General features: G+C 35.8%; 2 long non-coding RNA genes across 2 annotated transcripts, besides 1 other annotated feature; one reads left to right on the plus strand and one right to left on the minus strand.

Annotated features, from left to right (window-relative positions):
• Positions 1 to 3,667: 3,667 nt before the first annotated feature.
• On the plus strand, positions 3,668 to 15,531 carry LOC124901412 (uncharacterized). The gene is made up of 2 exons (XR_007059790.1): positions 3,668 to 3,747; positions 15,379 to 15,531. It is a non-coding gene; the product is annotated as an uncharacterized LOC124901412 (long non-coding RNA).
• Positions 14,282 to 25,959, minus strand: LOC105378025 (uncharacterized). Its single transcript, XR_943069.2, has 3 exons — positions 25,620 to 25,959; positions 21,420 to 21,495; positions 14,282 to 18,174 (listed from the first exon to the last, which is right to left on the minus strand). It is a non-coding gene; the product is annotated as an uncharacterized LOC105378025 (long non-coding RNA).
• Positions 25,921 to 26,421: an enhancer, noted in NCBI's record as "H3K27ac hESC enhancer chr6:140469533-140470033 (GRCh37/hg19 assembly coordinates)". NCBI's record gives its function as "activates a minimal SCP1, AML or CMV promoter by ChIP-STARR-seq in primed H9 embryonic stem cells {active_cell/tissue: H9 hESC(primed)}" and the evidence as "EXISTENCE:reporter gene assay evidence [ECO:0000049][PMID:30033119]".

The raw sequence follows: 27,077 nt of genomic DNA on the forward strand, positions 1-27,077 counted from the left end.
TATTGTGGAAAAAAATATTTAGAAACTAATGTCTCTGCACTAGATGTGCTCATTGCTTTTGAGTATTACTATTACCTTTCTTCCTACTCTACTCTTCTTGTGCATAATCTTTTACCTTGCTCAGCTCCACCTAATGATTTAGACAAAATTGTTTAGGAAAGGCAGGTAAGAGGATAAGAAACAGAAGAGGAAGAGCCACCAGTTTGAATTATTTTTCTTAAAGAGGTTTTCCAAAATTGTATAATCTTCAGGCACCCCAAAATTTATTTTACTATTCTACCGTATAAATTATTCTTAGTCTTTCTTGTTTGTTTCTTTTCTCACTAGCATATCACTTCTAAGAGTGCAAGGATTATTACCTTTTTTGTTCCCTAATCTGTTCCAAGGAGATTTATAGTGAAAGGACAGCATTTGCTTCTTCTTGGTGACCAAAAGGGACCTTAGCAACTTACAGTTATGGAGAAAAAAAGCAAATAAAAGTAACATACAAATTACCTTGGGGTAGAGAGTGATTTTTTTTTCAAGATTAGAAAAAAAAGAATTCTTCAATCTTGATTGGCTTAGTGTATTTACCCCTTTTCTGCTTAAGGAATTTTTGCCCTTTTTTTCCTTCGATGATTTATAAAGATTGTCAGAAAAATTTGTATTACTCATTTAGGGACGAATTTTTATTTTATTATGAAATTATTTTCACCATATATCCTAAAAACCAGCACTGGACTTATCTGATCCAATGATCTAGTCTTGGTTTCATCCGCCTAATTATCTTATAGCAGGAGAATGGCAACACATGAAGAGTAGGCTGTTCAAGAAGAAAGGCCCTGACAAAAAGCGAAGATGAAAGGTAATTGATCAAACAGAAATGATACATTGTGAGTTACAGTTAATCAAAAGCTGAAGTAATTATGGTACATTATTGTTACAAAATTAGTATAGTAGTTAGGAGTCATTATTGGGATTACAATAGATACTCATTCAAGAAGCATTTATTGAAAACTTCCTTTGTTTTGAGCATTGTTCTAGAAGCTGGAAACGTGTAGGCAGATTAGATATAAACTCTACATGCAAAGACATCTAATCCAGAAGGGAACTCAGTCTATATATGAATAATTACTGGCAGTATTATAAATACTTGTAGAAAGGTGTCAGAATGCTGAGGGAAATCAAGACCAATTCATCCTCTCAACATATTGGGGTTATATTTAGCTTGGAGAAAAATATACAGGTGCTCTAGGGTTTTATCTTGTCATCACTGCTATTGAGTAGAAAGAAATGTTTCTTTTATGATACTACCAGCATTTTAATGTCTATGGTTTATATGCAAATATCAGGCTGTACTGGAGGTTGATTTTAGGGATATGGTTGAAGATTTTGGCCAATATATGAAGGTAATGAAGTAGTCAAAACCAGAATAAGTCAGAACTCATAGCAAGCTTTGGAAGAATCTGCAGTCATACAAAGCATATTCAGCATGAATACTTCAGAATGGCATTTCTCCCATCCTTGCATATATGAAAAACCTGTCACAATCACAGTATTTCTAGTGCAAAATACTATATAATAACATAGTGTCACTCACTGGATAAATTTTGGAAGATTTTCCTGTTTTAAAGGATTTTATTTTATTTATAAATTTATTCAAAGAAGCAGTTTCTTCACTTTCTTATAATTCTTAGGGATAAAATATATTCGGCAAGTAAATTATGTCTAAATTTGGGTTCACTGGTTGGAAATAAAAAAGGAAGTAGCTTATCTTTGTTACAGCAATTTTTCAAATGATAGTATCTTTTTACCTTACCAGTTCGTAGAATTACCTCAGTGAAAGAAAAGGTCTATGCCAAACATTTTTCTGCAATCTGGACCAAATGTCTGAGATGAATTAAAATAAGAGAGGTTGGAAATAAGGGTGGAATAGCAAATTTTGGATGTTTTTGTGCATACTTGTTTTTGAGATCATGTAATATATGATAAAAAATACAAATACCCATTTTTATAAAATCAAGTTGAACTTAACTTAAAAATAATACATATTTGGGGACAGGTATTCAGCTTTGCCAATATTTAAAAATTTTTCATTCACTCCAGTGTTGAATTTAGCAATTGTCCTTGTGTTTAGAACTAGAAATACAATGAAAAACCAGATAGACATGGTTATCTGACCACGGAGTTCAAAGTCTAGCAGGTAAGACAAACAAACTTGAAATTGAAATAAGTGTAATAAATGCCTTGATGGGGAGTGACAGCGGCATCATGGGTGGGAGGACATAGAAGGAGATCAAGTCTTGTGTGTGTGTGTGCCTGTTTGGTGTGTGTGTGTGTGTGTATCTGTGTACCCATGGAGATGTGCAGGTGTGTGTGAAAACTTTCCAGGAGAAATGATGGTTATGCTGGTATCTTAAAAATAAACACAAAATAAAATAAATATAATATAGTCTCCATCATCCATAATGATAGGGGGAATTCAGAACAATAAAAGAAATAATGCCTTTGAAAGCAGTAATTGCTTGTGTGCCTTAGGTAAGTAATTTAACAGATTATATGTAATTTAAATTTCTTTTTAACTTGATATTCAATGACTTTATTAAATTAATTCTGAATGGTTAATTTTTTTTCTGCTTTGCAAATTTTATAACTGCAGATTATCTAGATACTTCATAGCTACAACTTATCCATTTTAATTTTGAAGACTGTCCAACACGTTAAAAAAAAAAACAACTCTATGTAGGGGAAAATTGTGAATTCCGATTGAGCATAAAGCTAGAAATTCAATAGAAGGAGAGTTTTGACTTTTGAAAGATGTGTTGGCTGAAAAAATATACTCTGTCGTTTAGATTTCCTTTGTGCAGTGGAATAAATAGAGGGCATGAATTCTAGGATGATAGATGAAATGCAGTTTCTTTCAAGGTCTGAGGTGGAGAAAAGTTCAGTAAGAGAGCAAGCAACGGTGATATTATAGTGAATTCTGATCACTGAGGTAAACCAACTGGCAGGGCATTTATTTCTGTCATGTTATGAGAAGCATATCTAGGAAAAGAGGAAAAATATTAAAATGTATACTTTCATTCAATATTTGTTCCACAAATATTTACTGAGTATTTTCTGTTGGACAGATACCATACCAGCCAAATAAGCAGCTCAAAGTCTACTGGAACTGACAGATATGAAAAATCAATTATTTCTTTAATAGTAATAGTAATAGTTAATGATAAACAAGGGCCTACTAGGTGCAAGACACTGTGCTAAGTCTCTCACATGGCTGCTCTGATTTAATAGTCACAAAAGTATTATAGATACCTTTTTATGGGTACATTTGCTATTTTTAATCTGGTTTTATAGAAAAGTAAACAGGCTAGAGAAATAAGTTCAGTAGCATACCCCAGGTGATTCAAGTAGTATGGTAATTGCTATGAGAGATGTAAATGCAGTTTTTTTTTCTGTGAATATTTTAAATAAATATTTTGTTTTGAAATACATTTAGATAATACAAAGATAGTACAGACAGTTCCCATATATTGCTCACCAGTTTTAGGTATGAAATCTCCTTATGTTACTATCTTATGTTTCCATGGTACATTTGTCAAAACCAGGAAACACACATTGGTACATTGCTATTAACTAAACTCCAAACTTTTTTTGAATTTTAGCATTTCTTTTCTTTTTTCTGTTTCAGGATCCAATCCAGGATACCATATTATTTCATGCTACGTCTGAAAGTTCTAAAACAGAGCACAAAGAAGGCTCACTAAGGTAGGATGGGTGTGGCAGGAAGAACAATGTGGGGAAAGGATAGACGAATATATACAAAGAGGAGGTGATGCTTGCACTTGGTCTTAAACATTCAGGTGAAGTCATTAAAGAAAAAGTAAGAGAACAGCATTAAAGACAAGGAGAAAAATATGTTAAAATATGGTGTAAATGGGTAAATTGCAAGTGGTTCAAAAGGACTAAATCATATATTTAGAAAAATGGCATGAGGTAGGACTAGGGAGTTAGGCCAGCAAGAAAACTTAAGGGCCCTGATACCATGTTTAAGAATGTTCCCTTTATGTTAAAGTCGTCAAAGCCATTGAAAGATTTAGGCAGAAGAATAACAGTCAGATTATGTTTGAAACTGAATTTGATAGCATTATGGAAGTACAGATGTTGAATGGACAAAGAGATTATTTAGAATCTATTATCATAGTCTGGGTAAGAAATAACAGAAATAATGAAGTACTGAACAAAATCTATGCCAGTAGATATGGCAGAGTTATACAAAATGTGAATGAGTTTAAATTAATATCACTGGAGAGAGATTGAGGATTCAAGTTTAACCATTTGGTTGTTTGATGAATGGTTGTGGTATCCACTAAAATGGGAGATGAAGAAAGATAAATAGAAATTGGAATACAATTGTAAGTTCAATTTTTGACATCTTTTTTCTGAAAAGTCTTTGGTACCACCGTTAGCAGGAGTCCAAAACACAATTAAAAACAAAAATATTGCGATCATATCTGAGATGACCATATAGATTTTAATCTCTTTGCATCACATCCATAATGCTAAAGCTAAGCACTGTAAGATTATAGGGTGATAGTAACAGAATCTAAGAACAACAAGGGATTCTATCATGGAAAAATCAGACTAAAGTGAAAAAGCAATACTGATAACGGACTGATGTGAAGGAGGGAGAAAGCTGCAATAAATGATGACAGAGAAGACAGAAGAGAAAAGAATTTCAAAAGGGAAATGTGATCGACTTTGTCAAATGTTTTATAGTTCTTGAACAAAATAAGTGAAAATTAGGCACTTTTTGCTTTAGGTCCAACATGCGAGTCATCATCCCCATTCTTAAAACAAGAAAAAGGTTGAACAAAATGAAAGCACCAACTTTCTTTGACTAATTTTTCGTGAAGTTTACAGGGCAAAAATTGTCACCCCAAAAGCTGGAGAGTTAGGTGAATACAGAAAGTGAAAGATGCTCTATTACCTGAAGCAGAACCCACTGGAGCCATAATCTGGTAGGGAGACTTAAATGGGAAATTTGACAAATTGAGGAAGCTGAGCGGACCAGCCTGAGAGTAAGAAACTCCTGGGGTATCACATTTCCCTGGTTTCCTCTAGAAATCTCACCAGGTTCTCAAGGTAAAGAGTCAAAATAAATTCCTTCATGACTCTGGCAGGAGAGGGGAAAAGTAACCATTGTGAAATAAGCTCAGAGCATTTTTTATAGTAAAGGCCTACTCCAGAAAAAAGCAAAAAAACAAAAAAACGGAACTCTATCCTACCTGAGGGAGAGACATTTCCCAGATTCTATACCCTCTAGCCTTTTTTTGGTCTCAAATAGTGGTGAAAAACTAGAAAAATTTGTGAAAGTAACAGCTAATATTTAATTTTAAGATAATATTTAGGGCCGGGCGCGGTGGCTCACGCCTGTAATCCCAGCACTTTGGGAGGCCGAGGTGGGTGGATCATGACGTCAGGAGATCGAGACCATCCTGGCTAACAAGGTGAAACCCCGTCTCTACTAAAAATACAAAAAATTAGCCGGGCGCGGTGGCGGGCACCTGTAGTCCCAGCTACTCGGGAGGCTGAGGCAGGAGAATGGCGTGAACCCGGGAAGCGGAGCTTGCAGTGAGCCGAGATTGCGCCACTGCAGTCCGCAGTCCGGCCTGGGTGACAGAGCGAGACTCTGTCTCAAAAAAAAAAAAAAAAAAAAAAGATAATATTTAATAATAAGATGATAGAAAGCTCACACGCATCCCCCCCAAAGAAAATTAAGGCACGCACTTTCCAGAGCCTGAGGGCTTCCTATATGAGGCTCTGACAAGTGACTGTGTCCCCAGAGTGGCAAAAACCCTTATGCTTTGGCTTAGGAGTGGTGAGGGAAATTCCCCTTCCCACTCTGCATACTGCCATAGCAGTTGCTGCCACTGGGAACCAGACAGGTAAGCCTGAGATCTGACTATATGGGGTTGGTGGCAATGACCTCACCCCAACTGATGGAACAGCCTCTGTGCTCTGGCTTTTGAGTAGAGAGCATGATCTCTTTCCCTCTCATCTCATTGCAGCTACAGCTACTGCTGCTGTCACCAGGGGCTGGGTTGGATGAGGCAGAGGGCTACCTGTCTGAGGCTGTGAGTGGCAACCATGCCCCAATTGGTGGCACGGACTCTGTGCTCTAGCTCATGTGCAAGGTGTGAGTCCCTTCTCCCCTCTGAAGGGTGGGACACCTCCTCTGCATGGCACTGTAGCACTGCTGCCACCAAGAGCAGAAGAGACTAAAAGCTGAATGTCTTGGGTTGTGGATGGCAACCCTGCTTCACAGCCACTGCCAATATCAGGAAGCACTGCTTGGGACCCACAGAGTTGTCCCACAACTGTTGCTGTGGATTGCTCATACCACGCTAGCTGCCTAGGGAGCTGAGAACTCACTCTTCCAGCCAGTTCACTGCTGCTACTACTGGCATCTGAGCAAGCTACTCAGATATGGAGTATGGAGTATGGAGTGTGGAGTGTGGAGTATGGAGTATGGAGGACCATACCTAAAAATAATGAAGATCTTCTATGACAATCCCACAACCAATACTGTATCGAGATGAAGAAAAGTTGAAAGCCTGTCTTCTAAGCATTGGAATAACACAATAATACATAGCCCACCTGGTTGTGCTATCACCAGTGTTAGTGTATGCCAGTCTGGGGCCCATGAAAAGGCATGCTCAATCCACTACTTTTATCACTGGGGCCCTAAGACTGGCCTACTTTGAGCCTGTGTCTCCGAGAAAACTTCATCATAGCCTCCACTAATAGACACACCTCAAGCCATCTAGAAAATCACAAATACCACTCACATTGTTTACGTTCAAAGAAATCATACAGAAACTACACAGCAGCATGCACTCAGAATCAAAGCCAAAGGGCTCTACCCAGCCAACACCACTGATACCTCTTCAGGAAAAACTCATCCCATATGAAAGCAAATTTTAAAAATTGGAAGAAGTGACTGTCACACCAGATGTACAGATTTCAGTGTGAAGACACTAGAAACATAAAAAACCAAGAAAATATGATACCTCCAAAAGAATGCAATAATTCCTCAACCACAGATTCCAATAAAAATGAAATTCGTAAAATTCTGGAAAAAGAATATAAAATTATGATACTAAAGAAGCACAGTGAGATACAAGATAATTTTAAAAAATCAGAAAAAAGAATTCAGAACATTAGTAAAAAATTTAGCAAAGAGGTAGATATCATAAAAAAAGAACAAAATAGAACTTCTGGAATTGAAGAATTCCTTGAATAAAATATAAAATACAATTAAAAACTTCAACAATATATTAGATCAAGCAAAAGAAAGAATCTCAGAATATAAAGACAGATTTTTTGAAATAACCCAGTCAGACACAAAGAAATAAAAAATAATAGAAAAGAATAAATAAAACTTTCATGATATATGGTATACCACACAGCAACCAAATATATAAATTATTGATAACCCTGAAGGCAAATAGAAAATGTTTGAAATCCTATTTAATAAAATAAAAAAAATTTCCCAAGTCCAGCAAGAGAGGTAGACATCCAGATATAGGAGTCCCACTAATCCCCAAACAAATACAGTGTAAAAGTTCTTCTCCACATTATAGCCAAACTGTCTAATGTCAATGACAAAATAAAATTCTGGAAAGCAAGAGAAAAGTGTCTAGTCACCTACAAAGGAGACCTCATCAGACTAACAGCAGACTTATGAGCAAAAACCTTAAGGCCAGAAGAGAATAGGATGATGTATTCAAAATGCTGGAAAACAAAAAAACACTGCCACCCAAAGATACTATATCCAGCAAAATTCTCCTATATACATGAAGCAGAAAAAAAGTTTTTCCCAGACAAGCAAATACAGAGGGAATTCATCACCACCAGACCAGCTTTACAAGAAATACTCAGGGGAGTCCAAAACCTGGAAGCAAAAGGATGGTGCCATCATGAAAATGCATATGTATAAAACTCACTTGTAATGCAAACACACAAATAAGGAAAAGACTCAAATGTTGCCAACACAGAAAACCAGCAAAACACAAGGACAAGCCATAAGAGGAAAAGGAATAAAGAATATACAAAACAGCCAGAAAACAACTAAGAATATAACCGGAAGTAAACCTTAGATATCAATAATAACCTTGAATATAAATCGATTAAATTTTCCACTTAAAAGATACAGACTGGCTAAATTGATTAAAAAAATGATTCAACTCTATGCTTCATATAAGAAACATACTTACCTGTAAAGACACATATAGACTGGAAGTAAGGGAATGCAGAAGGATATTTCATGCAAATGAAAACCAAAAGTGAATATGAGAAACTATACTTATATCAAATAAAACACACTTTATGTCAAAAACAGTATGAAAAGACAAAGAAGGTTATTACATAATTATAAAGGTATCACTCCAACAAGAGGATACAATTCTAAAATATATATGCACCCAACACTAGAGCACCCAGATAAATAAAACAAATTACTAGATCAAAAGAAAAAGATAGACTCCAATACAATAAAAATAGGGAACTTCAAAACCCTGCTTTCAGCATTAGACATATCTTCTAGACGGAAAATCAACAAAGAAATATTGGATTTGAACTGGACTTTAGAACAAATGGACCTAAGAGACATTTACAGATTATTTTATCCACCAATTGCACAATACACATTCTTCTAATTAGCATATGGTACATTCTCCAAGATTAACCGTATGTTAGGCCACAACACAAGTCTCAACAAATTTTAAAAAATCAAAATCATATCAAGTATCTTCTCAGATCATAATGGAATAAATCTAAAAATCACTACCAAGAGGAGCTTTGGAATCAGTACAAATACATGGAAATTAAACAACATGCTCAGGAATAACCAGGTAAATAAATAAATAAAGATGGAAATTAAAAAATTCTTTAAATAAATAAAAATGGAAACAACATATCAAAACCAATGGGGTATAGCAAAAGCAGTGCCAAGAGGGAATTTTATAGTAATAAATGCCTGCATCTAGAAAAACAGAAAGAATTCAAATAAACAATCTAATAATGCACCTCAATGTACTAGAAAATTAAAAAAACAAACCAAAACCCAAATTAGCAGAAGAAAAGAAATAATAAAGATCAGAGCAGAAGTAAACAAAATAGAAACAAAGAAGCAACACAAAGGATCAATGAAACAAAAAGTTGGGGTTCAAAAAGTTAAGCAAAAGTGATAAACCAGCTTGATTGATCTAGGAAAGAAGAGGGACGACCCAAATAAAATCACAAATGAAAAAGGACAACACAGAAATGCAAAAGATCATCAGAGACTATTATGACAAACTATACAGTAGTAAATTGGAAAACCTGGGGAAAATGAACAAATTCCTCTAAACAAGTAAAGAAAACCCTAGGCATAGATGGATTCACAATATAATTCTGTGGAATGTATAAAGAAGGACTTACACCCATCCTTCTGAAACTATTCCAAAAAATTGAAGAGAAGGGAACTCTACACAACCCATTCTACAAGGCCAGCATTACCCTGATATCAAAACCAGACAAGGACACAACAACAATATCCCTGATGAGCACAGACATAAAAATCCCCCACCAAATACTATCCAACTGAATCCCACAGCACATCAAAAAGATAATACACCACAATCAAGTGGAATTTATACCAGGGATGCAATGATGGTTCCATATATGCAAATTAATAAACATAATATGTCATATCAACAGAATGAAGAACAGAAACCATATATGATCATCTCAATAGATGCAGATAAAGCATTTGACAATATTCTAAACCCTTTCATGATAAAAACTGTCAACAAAGTAGGCATAGAAGGACCATACCTAAAAATAGTAAAGGCCATCTATGAAAATCCTACAACCAATACTGTATTGAGTTGAAGAAAAGTTGAAAGCCTAAGAAGTGGAAGAACACAAAAATGCCCATTTTCACTACTACTATTTAGCAGAGTACTGGGTCTTAGTCACAGCAATGAGATAAGAGAAAAAAATATAAAGCATCCAAATTGGAAAAGAGAATGTCAATTGTCCCTCCTTTCAGATGACATAATTTATATATATATATATATATATATATATATATATATATATATATATAACCAATGACTCCATCAAAAATTTTTTATAACTGACAAAAAAATTCAGTAAGTTTGCAGGATACACAATTAATATTCAAAAATAAGTAGCATTTCTATATACCAATAATGAAGTGCCCTAGAAAGAAAGAAAGAAGGTGATCACATTTACAATAGTTATAACATTAAGTAAAATTCCTAGGAATAAATTTAGCCAATAGCTGCAAGATGTCTATAAGAAAATCTATAAAACGTGGATGAAATAAATTAAAGAGGACATAAATGAAACTCATGAACTCATGTTAATGAGTTGGAAGCATTAATATTATTAAAGTGGCCATATTGCCCAAAGCAATATATAGATTTCATGAAAGCCCTATCAAAATTCTAACAACATTTTTCACAGAAATAGGAAAAAAAATTCTAAAATTCTTGTAATACCAATAAATGAGCCTGAATAGCCAAAGCAACCTTGAGCAAATAGAACAGATCTGGAGGCATTATACTCTGTGACTTCCAAAACATATTACAAAACACCATCGTATTGGTATAAAAATAGACACATACACTAATGAGACAGTATAGAGAGTCCAGAAGTAAAACCACATATTTTCAGCCAATTGATCTTCAACAAAGCTTTCAAGGACATACATTGGGGAAATAACACTCTCTTCAGTAAATGGTGCTGGAGAAACTGGATAACCACATGCAGAAGAATAAAACTGCATACCTATATTTCACCATATTCAAAAGTCAACCCAAGATAGATTAAGGACTTAAAGGTAAGACCTGAAACTGTAAAACTACTGGAAGAAAACAAACGTAAAATTCTTCAGGACATTGATATAGGCAAAAATTTTACGGTTAAGATCTCAATAGCACAGGCAAGAAAATAAAAAACAGACAAACGGGACTATATTAAGTTTAAAAGCTTCTGCACAGCAAAATAAACAATCAACAGCCTAAAGAGGCAACATTTTGAATGGGAGAAAAATATTTGCAAATTACTCATCTGATAGGGGACTAATATCCAATATATACAGGCCACTCAAACAACTCAGCAGTGAAAAACAAATACTTTTATTTTAAAATGGGCAAAGGACATGAATAGACATTTCTCCAAAGAAGACATAAATGGTCAAAAGGTATATATGAAAAAATGGTGAATTTTAATCATCAAGGAAATGAAAATACAATTTGTCAATTTTTGTAGAATGCAGAGAAAGCAGTGTTTAGAAAGAAATTTATAATAGTATATGTGTACATTAGAACAGAAAATATAGGAGATTGTAGATAACTTCAGGTAGGAAGCTTCTGTTAAATAATGATGGCAGTGCATTAAGGAGAAAGTAGATGGAAAATAATATATTCATGAGGATAAGCTAATCTTTTAAGAAACATGTTTTTTGAAATATAACTTGGAAGTGTTTGGAATGCTACGATATGAGCCGGATTCAAATAAACTAATCATCTAAAATACCTATGCATCACCTGCTTATAATGCCTTTGTCTTTTCATCAGTTTAAATCTTGGAATACTATTCCTAAAATTGAAGGAAACACTCAGTAAATGACTAAGTGTTTCTGGTACAAATAGAGTTAACTATATTGCATACATAAGTAGATTCCTGAGGAAAGGAGGCAGGGGACATAATTGTAAAGTAGGTATGGCAGTTGGAGAAAGGGATGAGAAAGTGATCAGGGAAATCTGGAGACTGAGACACTGGCCTGGGAAGAAAATGCCAAGGCTGATACCACACAGGGATGGGGCCTGGCAGTCAGCCTTGATTCCTGCATCTTCTTTCCCAACACATGCCATGCTTTAGCAATTCCTGCCAACTTTTTCTGTGAAATATGTCTATGTGTGGGCCTGCACCTCTCTGATTTGCTGCCACTGTCCTAGCCAAAATCACCATCTGGATTATTGCAGTGCCCTCCACACAGGTTCTGCCAACTTTCTCCCTTTCTCCTCTCTAATCCACTCTCTACTCAGCAGCCAGAATGATAATTTGAAAAGTTCCCACTCAAAATTCTTTCCCAGTTGAAATATTCTCACTGCTTGCCATCTCAGAAAGCATAAACCACATACAACAAACCCACACCTAGTATCATACTGAACAGGGGAAAACTGAAAACCTATCTTCTAAGATCTAGAACAAGACAAGGATGCTGACTTTTATCACTTTTATTCAACATAGTACTGAACGTTCTAGCCAGAGCAATGAGACAAGAGAAATAAATAAAAAGCATTCAAATTAGAAAGGAAGAAGTCAATTAGAAAGGAAGAAGTCAAATTATCCTGGATAGCAGATGATATCATCTTATATTTAGAAAAATGCAGACATTACCAAAAAACTATTAGAACTGGCAAATAAATTCAGTAAACGTTCAGTTTACAAAATCAACACACAAAAAATTAGTAGCATTTCTATATGCCAATAGCAAACAATTTGAAAAAAAAACCAAGAAAGTAATTCCATTTACAATGGCTACAAATAAAATATCTAAAAATTAACAAAAGAAGGGAAAGATCTTTTCAATTAAAACTATAAAACATTGATAAAATAAATTGAAGAAGACACAAAAAATGAAAAGATAGCCCATGTTCATGGATTGGAAGCATCAATATTGTTTAAATGTTCATACTACCCAAAGCAATCTACAGATTCAATGCAATCCCTATCAAAATATCAATGACATTCTTCACAAAAAAACTTAACATTTATATGAAACCACAAAAGATCCAGAATTACCAAAGCCACCCTGAGCAAAAATAACAAAACTGGAAAAATCACATTATCTGACTTCGAATTATACTACAAAGCTATAGTAACAAAAACAGCATGGTACTGGCATAAAAACAGACACAAAGACCAATGGAACAGAATTAAAAAACCCCAAAATCAATTCATGCCTTTCTACCAACTTGTTTTTGATAAAGGTGCCAAGAACATACATTGGAGAAAGGACAGTCTTCAACAAATGGTGTTGGGAAAACTGGATATCCATATGCAAAAGAATGAAACTAGATTATTTCTCACCATATATAAAAATCAACTCAAAATGGATTAAAGGCTCAAATCTCAGATGTGAAACTGTGAAACTACTAGAAAAAACACATTTGGGAGTCATTCCAGGGTATTCAGCTAGGCAAAGATTTCTTAAGTAACACCTTGAAGGCACAGGTGATGAAAGTGAAAATGGACAACAGAGATCACATCAAGATAAAAAGCTTCTGCATAGCAAAGGAAACAATTAATAAAATAAAGAGACAACTCACAGATTAGAAGAAAATATTTGCAAACTAACCATCTGACAAGGGATTAAGAACCAGAATGTATAAAGAGCTCAAACAACTCAATAGTAGAAAAACAATCTGGTTAAAAATGGGCAAAAGATCTGAATAGACATTTTTTTTAAAAAAGAAGACATATATATGGTCAACAGGTATAATAAAAAAATGCTCTTCATCACAAATCAGAGAAATGATAATCAAAACTACAATGAGATATCATTTCTCCCCTGTTAAAATGGCTTTTATTCCAAAGACAGTCTGTAACAAGCTGGTGAGGATGTGGAGAAAGGGGAACCCACATACACTGTTGGTGGGAGTGTAAATTAGTACGGCTACTATGGAGAACAGTATGGAGTTTCCAAAAAAAAAAAAACAAAAAACTAAAAATAGAACTACCATGTGATACAGCAGTCCTACTGCTGAGTATATACCCAAAAGAAAGGAAATCAGTCTATTGAAGAGACATCTGCACTCTGACGTTTATTGCACTAGTATTCACAATAGCTAAGATATGGATCAACCTAAGTGCCCATCAAAGGATAAATGGATAAAGTATGGTACATATACACAGTAGAATATTATTCAGCTGTAAAAAGAATAAAATCCTGTCATTTGCAGCCACATGGATGGAACTGGGGTTCATTGTGTTAAGTAAAATTATCCAGCCACAGAAAGACAATGTTTTCTGTTCTCCCATGTTATCACTAATACGTGGGAGCTAAAAAAAAAAATATATATGAATTAATGAAGATAGCAGAATGATGGATACCAGAGGCTGAAAGGGTAGCAATGAGTGGAGGATAAAGTGGGGAAGGTTAATTGGTACAAATGAGAGTTAGAATGAATAAAGTCTATTATTCAGTAGCACAATACAGTGATTATAGTAAACAATAATTTATTGTTTATTTTTAAATAATTAAAGTGTAGAATTGGAATATTCTGAACACAAAGAAATGATAAATGCTGGAGGGGTTGCATAGTTCAGTTACCCTGATTTGATCATTACACATTATATGACAGTATCAAAACATCACATGTATCCAATAAATATATACAAATATTATATACCATAATAATTAAAAATAAAACATATTAAAAATAATTGCTTTGGCCTATAAAGTGCTGACTTAATTGAATATTTTTACAATTTTGATTTCATTTTCAGCCACTCTGCTTATTATTCACTCTGGGATTGGCTTTTTCTTCACTAAGCCCACTTCTCACACTTTCTTTCAAAACACTTCCCAATATTTGTAACTACATAGTTAACTGTTACTTTTTTATCTTTCTCTCCACCAATCAATAAACTTCATGAAGCCCAGTTTTATATTTGTAGCAAGAACAGTGCTCAATAATTATTTACTGAATAGATGCATGAACACCTGAGGTCAGTGAGCTTGGGGAGCAGGGAAAGGGAATACCGAAATTTCTAACTGGACTATTAGCTGATGTCATTCTGAAAACACTCAGAGTCTTTTAAAGCTTTTGATAACTGAACAAACAAAAGGCAATCTAAATAAAAACTAATTTAATTACTATTTTAACTGTCTTTCCAAATTATTGGTACAAAATTATATGGTATAACAGTATTAATTGTTTACCCAAGTGCATCCTATTTTTCATTGACTGTTCATGTATTAAGTGTGAAATTTTAATTCTCTTTTGTAATAGATCTATTTCTATATTTTAGTTCATTTGATTTAAAAATACAACTTAATGACTTGATAATGATAATATCAATAGATATTATTTATTTGAGTGTATTTTTCTGTACAAGATACTCTTCTTGAAGTGTGCTATCTCAATCCTCCTAACAACATCTAGCTGTCCACATTACTACCCTAAATAAATATATGAGGTATCTACAGGTCAGAGAGCCTTGGTAACTTGCTGAGGATCACACAGCCAGTAGATGACAAAATCAAATCTTAAGCTCAGGGTTATTCAGCTTCAACATTTTTTTCTTTTTTCTCAGTACGGCCTTACCACCAGCCATTGTTTTTGGTCAGAGATGATGATGCATTCTTGGATGGACTAGATTTTCAGCAAAGGAGCTGCTTTTCACATATGATATGTAAGAAATAAATACGAAGATGTCATAAAAAATAAACTTTCTACTTGTGTGAAAGTTTTCATTTGGATATTTTATTTTATTTTTATTTTTATTTTTTTGAGATGGAGTCTCGCTCTTGTCGCCCAGGCTGGAGTACAGTGGCACGATCTCGGCTCACTGCAACCTCCGCCTCCAGAGTTCAAGCTATTTTCATGCCTCAGCCTCCTGAGTAGATGGGGATTACAGGCGCCGGCCACCACGCCCAGCTAATTTTTGTACTTTTAGTAGAGACGGGGTTTCACCATGCTGGCCAGGCTAGTCTCTAACTCCTGACCTCAGGTGATCCGCCCACCTTGGCCTCCCGAAGTGCTGGGATTACAGGTGTGAGCCACCGCACCTGGCTTTGGATATTTGATTAAGAAATTTGAACATATCTTCATGTTTGCTCAAAGCTGAAACACCTAATTGATTCAGCCAGATCACTCCCAGTCAAAAAGAAAATGAACCACTGGAGTGAAAACAATTACTTCATTGGAATTTCCTCTCTTTGTTTTGGCTAATGCCATGGCTATGTATTTTGGTTATTAAAAAATAATCTCTTTCCTTTCACCTTCCCAGGTTTCAGCTCCCCTCTAAGTAGACAGTCCAGTTTGAGCTCCTCCTCAGCATGCCTGCCTTCGCCATTGTTCACTGTCTGTCTACCTCACTGCCAGCCCCTCGGAAGCTGGGGACTATGTGTCTTTCTTTTAATCTCACATCACATTGTGGAAGGCTATAGTTGGCACTCTGGCTCTGAGGCTGCTTTCTGTCCTAACAACAAACCCTACATTGAGATACCCATCCCAGGAGTGGCCTTTGTATCTTCACACACTGGGGCACTCACTCCAGGACATTTAGCTGCTCTGTTATCCATTTATGTGAAGTGACCTGAAGTCCCCTGGGAATGGTAAGGGCAAGGTCAGAGCACAATGGCGTTTCCTTGAGAACGTGGCTGTCTCTCTTATTGTCTCTTCCTCCTTCACTTCAGTGATTATCAGCAGGCACTCTAATTCCTACTCCAAAGAGAATTGTTTTATCTCAGTCCTTAATAAAAGTTTAATAACAGAGCACTTTGGTGAGCTCACGTTAGTGAGATTTTATTTCACCTAATATACCAGCGTATTATGCACTTGAGTAATCTATGTGCCGTTGTAAATAAAGTAAACAACATATATTTACAGAACTAAGCAAACTACATTTTATGATGGTATCCTTGAAACTTTCACACTCTGATCAGTAATAGCTCTCCCACTCATTAACGTGCATCAGTGAGAAGCTCCTCTAATTAGCTATAAACTTACTGCTGAATAGCAGTCATTTCAAGTACCGTTTGTTATTAAAACAAATACCTGGAAATTACACTATTAGTACAAAAATCAATCCAATTTTAAGCACAACATTAAAGCAAACTTAACACCCTCACTCCCATATGCAACATGCTATCAGCAAGTTTTCTTTATAATTGAGGGCCTCTACTAAACCAGGACCCAGTAGAAACATTCATGGAGCCAAGAAGGGAATAAAGGCATTTCCTCAATTTTTACAAATACTTTGAAAGAAAGGCAGATTGACAACAATTTTTGAAAAGATGGAAATTCTAGTCTCAGTAATCCTGCTTGGATTCAGTTTTGTCTAACTGATGAATATTTTGAAGCACTTACTCTGTTCCAGGCATTGAAGCTGCAGAGATGATGAAGATACTGTCTTGGCTGTCAAGAAACTTACCACATTATAGGAAGTGGGATGGGGAGAGACGGTTGAGGTGTATACATAAATGCATACATCATGATGGTGAAAACCAAAAGATGTCCAGAGATTTCTGAGCATTGGTGGATTCAGATTAAGAGGGAAAAGCTTGAGAAAGAAGGTTTGTAGGTTTATTTAGGCTTCATGTAATTAAGAAAATATATGGCATTTGAAGGTAGCATAGCACAATTTAAGGCAATAGGATGGGCACAAACATTCAGTTTTAGTCTCGTCACCACCGTTTGTTAGCTATGTCACCATTTCTACCATTAAGTAACTGGGTGGGCCATGTGTCTTGGACTTAGAATATTTAACATGGAAACATTGTAGCACTAAAATGATGTAAGTAAAGCTTAAATCACAGTACCTGATGAGAGTAGGGTCTCATTAATGTCTACTCCTTTTCTTTCCCAATTCTTTCTCTGCCTCTCTACTCCATCTTTCTTCATCCCACATATCTTAATCTAGAATTCCAGACCTTTTCACTGCCCTCCAATCTTAGGTAGTGTCCTTCTACCATATCCAAGGCATTTCTTTTGCTAGAAATGCCCTCCTTTTCCTTACCTTGCTTGGCATGTCAGAATTCTATTATTTCCTGTGTGCCGTAAATGCTGCTTCCTCAACCAGGACTATCCTGATCTCTCCAACTGTACTTTTTCCTCCTTCTGAATTTTCATTGCATTTTGCATATCTTTCTTCATTCCTGTCACATTACATTATACATTGTACTTACCTATAGGCACGTCTTATTTATTTTAAGCACAGTAGGAATTGGGGTTAAATTGCTTGATACATCTGTAGCACGTAAAACAGTGCAGTAGGCCGGGCGCGGTGGCTCATGCCTGTAATCCCAGCACTTTGGGAGGCCGAGGCGGGCGGGTCACGAGGTCAGGAAATCGAGACCATCCTGGCTAAAACGGTGAAACCCCGTCTCTATTAAAAAAAAAATACAAAAAATTAGCCTGGCGTGGTGGCGGGCGCCTGTAGTCCCAACTACTCGGGAGTCTGAGGCAGGAGAACAGCATGAACCCGGGAGGCGGAGCTTGCAGTGAGCCGAGATCGTGCCACTGCACTCCAGCCTGGGCGACAGAGCGAGACTCCGTCTCAAAAAAATAAAATAAAATGAAATGAAATAAAATAAAATAAAATAAAACAGTGCAGTAAATATTTAAAAGTTATTTCATAATTATTTTTAAGCTGGTATAAATTCTTCTGTTAAATAAATTAGTTAAATGTCCTTGGATTTAAAATATTTGTACATGAAATTTACCTCACAGAATAGTATGAAAATCAGAAGACTGAAAGATTAAGTGTATACTGAATCACTGCAGGACCAGCAGGTTGGCTCCATATATTCTTAGATGATAAAAAGGTCTTTGTTCATAATCACTTTAGTATTAGACAAAGAGCTCATTATATTTATCTCCTAAAATTTGACTTGGGCTCAGGAGAGTTGCCCTAAATTGAGAGAAAAAAAGGAACTTGCAATGCGACTGGACACTACAAGCCATTGAAAACCATATATTTAAAGAATATTCAATGACATGGGGGAAATTCTATGAAATATTAAAAAAGTTATAGGATGCTAAATTTTAATTTTAGTATATTATTTAAATTTTATATCAGACAAAACAAAGTGTACTGAAATGTAACCAAATCTTTTAAGTAACTACATCTGGATAAAATAAAATAGTGATGATTTTTATTTTGTTTTATTTTTGTGTATTTTATATATATTTTTCAATAAACAATTATTACTTTTATAATCAGGATAACAATAAAAATGTATTTGTAATAAAGTAGTGGTTTTTCAACCAGGAGTGATTTTGTCCTTAAGGGGTTTATTGCAATTTCTGGAGATATATTTGTCATACCTGGTTGTGCTATTGGCATCTAGTGGGTAAAGGCTAGTGATGCTGCTATTAATATCTTCCTACAATGTACAGGGCAGCCCCCACAACAAAGAATTAGCCCCAAATGTCAATAATGCTGAAGTAGAGAAACCCTGAAATATAGAGAATGCAACCAAAATATATGGAATGAGGAAATGATTTACCAAATCATGGTACAACACTTAATATAATGGACTATTATGCAGGTCTTAAAACTTACACTGCCAAAATGCTTATTGAGATGTCAGTCTCACTAAGTCTTTTTCAACCTGAGAAGTTTACATTTCCTCATACAACAGCTCTTTGGTATATTCTAAGTTATATTATCTTTTGTTTTATACATGTTCTTTTATGTTCCTAACAAAGAGGAGGATTCTTTAGAAGTAGGATCCCCATTTATTTACAGTTTCCCTCAACATCCCTTACTTACACAGTGCTAATATAAGAAAGACAATCTAGTTGTTATGGTTATTCATTCATAACCCTTGAAGTAAATACTCTTTTAGTTGTGTATGCCTGAACTCCAACTCAAACAATATTCCTCAATATTATGTCAAATAGGCATATATGTTATGTCTGTATGTCTATCTATCTATATACCTACCTATCTATCTACCTATCATCTATGTTTTGTCAGTCTATCCATCTATCTAAAAATATTGTGGTAGCTCACAGGGCAAGAGGAAAAGTTGCAGAATTGAGCATAGCTCCTGGGATCTTAGGAACTCAGGATGCAACAAAAGCAATGTCTTTACCTCTCATCTCTTTATCTCCCAGTGTGTCAATTTAATTCTTTCAGGCTTTCCTATATAGTAAGGCTCCAACATTTATCAGCTCTGGTGTCATATTTTATATGGTCGTGACAATGAAGGAATGAAAAATTCTTTCATGATGACTTAAAATTCCAGCAGAAAGATCTTGGAGACAGCCAGTGGCGTACCTTTGTTATATATCTATCTTTAGACCAAACCATGGAGAGGGATATGGGTTATCATTAATGCCAAACCATGCTAGTGTTTGTGGTAAGGTAAGTTAGGGTCTATCTTTTGAAGAGAGAAGAGGCACTGGGTGGTCAAAAACAATAATATGAAATTGTACCGAAGATATTTCACTTAGCATAAGAATGGCACTATGCACTCCAGAGTTCAATGCCCACATGATAGATACCCCCTCCGTTCCTTGAAGATGGTATTTGATTTCTTGGGAGGACCTTTTTGCTTTCATTTTATCTGTTAGTATTTGGGAACAACTTAAACTTTAATGTCATCTTGTTGTAGTTATTCATTGATAGCACACCAATAAGGCATTCAGCTTAATGTTTCAAGATTATTTGTTTATTAACATTATGTAGGATTATAAATATAAGACAAATGTGAACACTCAGTTACACTGAAGTATTATGCACTGAAATATTATGAAAGCCATTCCAGAAAGTGTACCTGTCCCTTGATATTTCAGGAGATAATGTGAATGTGCTGCACAACCCCAAGCCAATCCAAGGATTTTGTATTAAGGAAGAGGCCATATTTATCATTAGCAAATCCAGACATTACCAAGATTGAAATACAATTTCCTGAGATCTTTTCTTGACATCGTTACAAGTTATGTTTAGAGGAAAATGCCAGCCCAGATAATCAAGAAACGTGCTTTCAAATAATACTTTAGCACTGAAGCAATGCTACTTGCTAGCAATGTAACTCTGATTGGTGGAGGTGAAGGACAGTAATGATGACAAGAAACCTGAGTAATATTGAAACCATTCCATTTAAAGCAATGATTGATATAGTTGGATTAATAGCTACTTTGTTTGTAATCATTTTCTGTTTATTACACTTATTCTTTGATATTTTTTCCTTCTGTTCTTTTGCTGCCACTTCTGTATAAATTGAACATTTCATATAATTCTATCTGTTCTCATCTCTTAGCATATCAATTATTCTTTAAAAAATTTTAGTAGTTTTTCTAGAATTTGAAATACATATTTACAAGTAATTAGAGCCTACTTTTAAACGCTATAATGCTTTACACTTGGTGCAGGTACCTTATAACAAAGTATATACCATTTCCTACCTCCTGTGTCTTAGAACATTTCCATCATTTACTTTACTTATCCACATGCTGTAATCACCCAACAAATTGTTACTATTATTACTTTGAATAGTCACCCATTAGATCAATTATGAATAAGAAAAATAAGATTTCATGTTGCAATGGCTATGGAGGCTAAAGTTTCCAAATTCCTCTAGTGTTCTCATTTTTGTCTCCCTTCTTGACTTTGGGGCTTACCTTCGTACTGCTTCTCAAAGGGTATTGGGCTCCTTGCAGCTCTTTGAGCTATGATCCTCTGTTATCTCTTGGACTCCTATTGATATGATATGGAGGAGAGAAATAATTTTATAATTAAATATTATTCTTTTAGTGGGCCTGTGTCCCTAGTTTATGACTTTCACAAGTATTTCTTAGTTTCCCTCCCATTCTCCAGTAGGGAGATAGAAAAGTTAGAAGGTGATGAAGGAAGTACCATCTGTCAAGTGGGATAAGGCTCTGGTAACATCTGTTACCCTGGAAAGTAGGCTTATCTGTGTTATTTGGAATACTCTGGGCCTATTTCAAAATGGTTACTTCTTCTCCCCATCAGAAAAACAAGGGATTTTTTTTTTCTATGTTCTTCACTGCGAAAATCTGTTGGGGTTTTTGGAATTTAAATTTATGAAAGTTTCTTAGGGTTTCTCCCTAAGTCTACAGCCCCAAGGAGTTTCTCATTCTCATATTATCTCACACTCACCCTCCAATAATTTGTCAACATTGTTATTTAAGAGTTCTCACCAGTTTACGGCTCCATCTGCTTTTGCTTGCTTTTGCTCTATATAAGCTGATCTGTACTGTGATTCTCTTTACTCATCTGACTCTCCAAATTTTGGGGTGACAATTTGCCTTGCCACCATCTCACTTTTCTGATGGGTCTAAGTGAAGTGATAAATTTCACTTTGTTCAGTTGGACTCTTGTAAAGACAGGAGTGACAACTTCTAAGTTCTTTCCATGTCAGAATTAAAACCAGAAGTCCTAAATAATCTTTAAAGACATTTTAATGATTATTAGGTTTTTGTTTCAATATCCATTGGAATATGTATCAAATTTGGTACCCATGGTAATTCTTACTCTTTTCTCAAATATTGTTAAACATCTAACAAAATGTTGCTTAATAACAATGTTTATTTCCCTGTATGTGATCTCCAGAGAGCTATCAGACTCTTTTCGTGATTATTGTACCCATGGTAACTCTCATTCTGTTCTCAAAAATCCTTAACTATTCAAGAAAATGTTACTTAATGGTTAACTCTAATTCCCCAATACGCAATCTCCAGGGAGCTATCAGTCTCTTTTTTTGAATAAAATTTTGATCACTGTTTATAAGGAGGAGAAAATCAATAAACAAAAATCTTCTCATTAGTTGAGGCTTTGAGATTTGAATCTTTCCTTGCTGAAAGTAATTCCAAATAATAAAGCTTCCTAAAATAATTTGTTGCAGCCATCAACAGGATCCCTACTGTTTTACTTTCTTAATTTTGCAAATTATTATTATATTACTATTTTTTTACTTCCCTTTCATTTAAAAATGTACCATTTAAACAAGTCAAATACTATAAAAATGGGGAGGAAGGAAAGAAAACTAATTTCTTAAATGATTTGTTAATATTTATCATCAATTCACAAGATTTTTGCAATTTACTTTGCCAATTGTACTGTTATTGGTATTTTAAAAAATAAATCTAAACATACAATTTTCTTTCTAAAATTTGTTTGCAATAAGAATTATTTGGCAATATACTCATGTTAAATTTATTTTCTAAACATGCAATGCATGGTTCTCTGTAGTTAATTGTCTGAAAAGTAATTATATAAGACCACTGTATAATTATAATTTTACATACTTATTCACATATCCTTAACATAATGAAATGGCTACTCTGTCTGGGGAATATACCCTGGGGTTCATTGTTGCTCGCCAAAAAAGAATTCAGGACATGGACACGTGGGTGGGTTAAGGAGTGGAAAGTTTAATAGAAGAAAGGAAAGAAGAGAGCAACTCCTTTTGGGGGAGAGAGAGACGTCCGAAAAGTGGGGAGGCAGCAGACCACAGCAGATTTTAAAGGCAGGCTGGATTGGTCTGATCAGGTATGATATCTACATAGTGGGAGGGGAAGGCTGGTGCCCCACCCTAATCTTACTATGCAAATGGCCTTTCCAATTGATAGGTGCCATCTTGTCTGCTTCTTACTGTACATGCTGCTGACAAACAGAAGGGAAGAGGGAGCCACCATCTTGAGCACGATTGGCACAACTGCTGGTATCTATGTCTGGAGCTCGATTTTACAGGCTGCTCTTTGTTAGAAAGGAAAATAATTTGGGGCTGCTTTTCATTAAAAAGAAAAGCCTTACCAAGGACTCCCATACACTTACTATCTGCCTAGGTTATTTATTCTTAACTCCTGTATCAATAAGGTTTAGCAGAGATATAAATTTTATAATTTATAGTATTTATAAGGTTATATTAATTACTATATTATTTTTCTGTCATTTCTATTCTGTAAATAAAGAAGTAATAGTTAAGTGGAATATACTGTGTTAAATGTTTTCATAGGTTGTACTATTTAATTTCATTAATCTCTTCAAAACTATTTTTTCTTGCAAAAAAAGCATTGCCAATTATAAACAAGTTGAAACAATTTACAAGTGGTTCTTTGTACATTTTTATATAATTTAATTGATACATTTTATGTATCAATTTATTCTTTGCCTCTATATCCAATCAGATTTATATTGAGAGCTTGGGAGTCAAGAGTTTTATATTGTTTTGTCTGAGTGGTTCATCTGTGGAAAATGTATACCTCAACATTCTTTTCAAACAAATGCAAAGCTTTTATGAAGATAGATATATTCTGGGCCATAAAATGAGTGTCATAAACTTAAAGAGCCCATTTATACAAAATATATTCCCTAACCATAGAACATTAAATTATAAATCAACAACAGAAAAATATCTGTGAAATCCAGAAATATTTGGAAGCTAAATAACAAACTTCAATCTAACAGGTATTTCAAAGAAGAAAAATGTTTTTAAGTATATGAAAATGCAAGCATGACACATGAAAATTAAGGCATGCTACGAATGCAGTAACTAGGTGGAAATTATAACCACAAAAATCCTATAGTAGAAATAAAAAAAGTCTCAAATTAGTGTCCATAGCATTATCCTTGAGAAACTAGAAAAGCAAATTGAACCCAAATTAATCAGAGAAAGAAAACAATAATAAAGGCAGAAATCAATGAAATAGAAAACAGTAAAAACAATAATGAAATCAATGTAACAGCAATTCTGTGAAATAATCAATAAAATGGATAAACCTCTATCTAGCCAGGCTAAACAGGATATGAAGAAGGAAGACACAAATTATCCATACCAGGATTGAGAGAGGTGGCATCAATACAAATTCTACAAGCTATTAAAAGGATAATAAAAGAATATTCTTAATAACTTTATGGCCATAAATTCAACAACTTAGATGAAATGGACAAATTTCTTGAAAGACACAAACTCTCAATACTCGTACAATAAATAAAGTCTTCTCTATGTTAAAAAATATTCTGAAGAGTACTATATCCATTCATTGTATTTATAATTGCAAACTTTTCCACAAACTCCAGGCTCCCATCACTTCATTGGTGAATTCTTCTAGACGTTTAAAGAAGAAATAATACCTAAACAAATGTTTCCAGAAAATTTAAAAGAAGTTAATACTTAGTCAACACATTTTCTGAAGCCAGCATTACCTCAATTCCCAAACCCAAAGACACCACAAGAAAAAAATAACTACAGACTAATAGCTTTCATGAATATAAGTGTAAGCAATTCTTAATGAAAACTTAACAATTAAACATAGTATTATGTAAAAATATGACAGCATAACAATATGGAGTTTATCTCAGGAATTCGAGGGTAGTTTTATATTCAAAAATCAGTCAATATAATCAATATGTCAACAAACTAAAGAAAAACATATGATCACTACAGTAGATACAGCAAAAGCACTTAACACAATCTCAAATTCACAGCTGATATAACATGTTCAGAGAATGAAAAGACAAAGCAAAGATTAGGAGTGCTGATTGGTGCATTTACAAACCTTGAGCTAAATACAGAATGCCGACTGGTGCATTCACAATCCCTTGGCTAGACATAAAGATTCTCCAAGTCCCCACCAGATTAGCTAGACACAGAGCGCTGATTAGTGCATTTACAAACCTTGAGCTAGACACAGAGTGCTGGTTGGTGCATTTACACACCTTGAGCTAGATACAGAGTGCCGATTGGTGCATTCACAATCCCTTAGCTAGACATAAAGATTCTCCAAGTCCCCACTAGACTCAGGAGCCCAGCTGGCTTCACCCAGTGGATCTCGCACCGGACCACAGGTGGAACTGACCTGCCAGTCGCGCGCCGTGCGCCGGCACTCCTCAGCCATTGGGCGGTGGATGGGACCGGGTGCCGCGGAGCAGGGCGCGGCGCTCCTCGGGAAGACTCAGGCGGCGCAGGAGCCCACGGCCGGGGTGGGGAGACTCAGGCATGGCAGGCTGCATATCCGGAGCTCTGCCCCCGGGGGAGGCAGCTAAGGCCCGGCGAGAAATCGAGCGCAGCGCCAGTGGGCCAGCACTGCTGGGGGACCCGGCGCACCCTCCGCAGCTGCTGGCCCAGGTGCTGAGCCCCTCACTGCCCGGGGCTTGCGGGCGGGCCAGCTGCTCCGAGTGAGGGGCCGTCGAGACCACGCCCACCCGGAACTCGCGCTGGCGCGCAAGCGCAGTGTGCAGCCCCGGTTCCCGCCCGCGCCTCTCCCTCCACACCTCCCCGCAGGCTGAGGGAGCCGGCTCCGGCCTCGGCCATCCCAGGAAGGGGCTCCCACAGTGCAGCGGCGGGCTGAGGGGCTTCTCAAGTGCGGCCAGAGTGGGCGCCGAGGCCGAGGAGGCGCCAAGAGTGAGCGAGGGCTGCGAGGGCTGCCACCACGATGTCACCTCTCAGTTCTAGGCAAGTACAGAGCTGCAGCCGGTGATCCTGGGTTGGGGGTGAGGTAAGGGGGTGGCTGGGGTGCCAGGTGGCGAGGCCCTGCCCGGCAAGGAGTAGGAGGGGCGGGAACCTGCATGGAAAACAGTCTGCCACTTTTCCATGAGGCAGCTACACCGTGCTAAGGGTCTGCGTTAGTCCCTAATCACAGCCCTCCCTCATGAGGCTGAGAGCAACAGAAGTGCAGCCATGATTCCTATTTTATTAATAATTGTGCTGATGGTTTAATGCATATATTCATAGGTCAGAACATTAAAGTGTCCCTTCAAAATGTGTTTTTATTTTATGTCAATTATACCTAAATAAATATTTATAAAATCTCACCATGCAAGTAACATTTAGCATAAGAAACATTGTGTGGAAATACGAGAGTCTACTCAAATATATGGCTGTCTGTGATGTGTGCCTTTCCCCCCTCTGAATTTACTTGCATATTTAATTTTATGTATGTCAGTTAATTTATTATCTTTAGTAACCTATATTCTGCTCCTTGCAATTTTCGTATTTCCTATCTCTGGCATAGTTTTGATTTGTCTTCAGTTTGTTTCTTTATCTCAAAGTGTAGGGCTTTTTTTTTTTTTTAAAAACTCTTTCACTGTTTAAAAAAATCAAATATATGGTCAGAGTAAGTTTTTTCCTAGTCTTAGTTGTAATTTTCAGAGATTCTTTTCTATTCTTTGGTTTTGTTTGTTGTTGATGTTTCAGTTTTTTTTTTCTTTGCTTTACGTGATGCATTTTCCTCTAATTGTTTTTTCTCTCTTTTTCTGCGAGAATGTTTAGTACTGGCAGCTGCATTTTTCTAATATTGTGGGGAGTAAATTATCTT

This window comes from Homo sapiens, chromosome 6 (genome assembly GCF_000001405.40).
Source record: "Homo sapiens chromosome 6, GRCh38.p14 Primary Assembly".
NCBI classification, from domain to species: domain Eukaryota; kingdom Metazoa; phylum Chordata; class Mammalia; order Primates; family Hominidae; genus Homo; species Homo sapiens.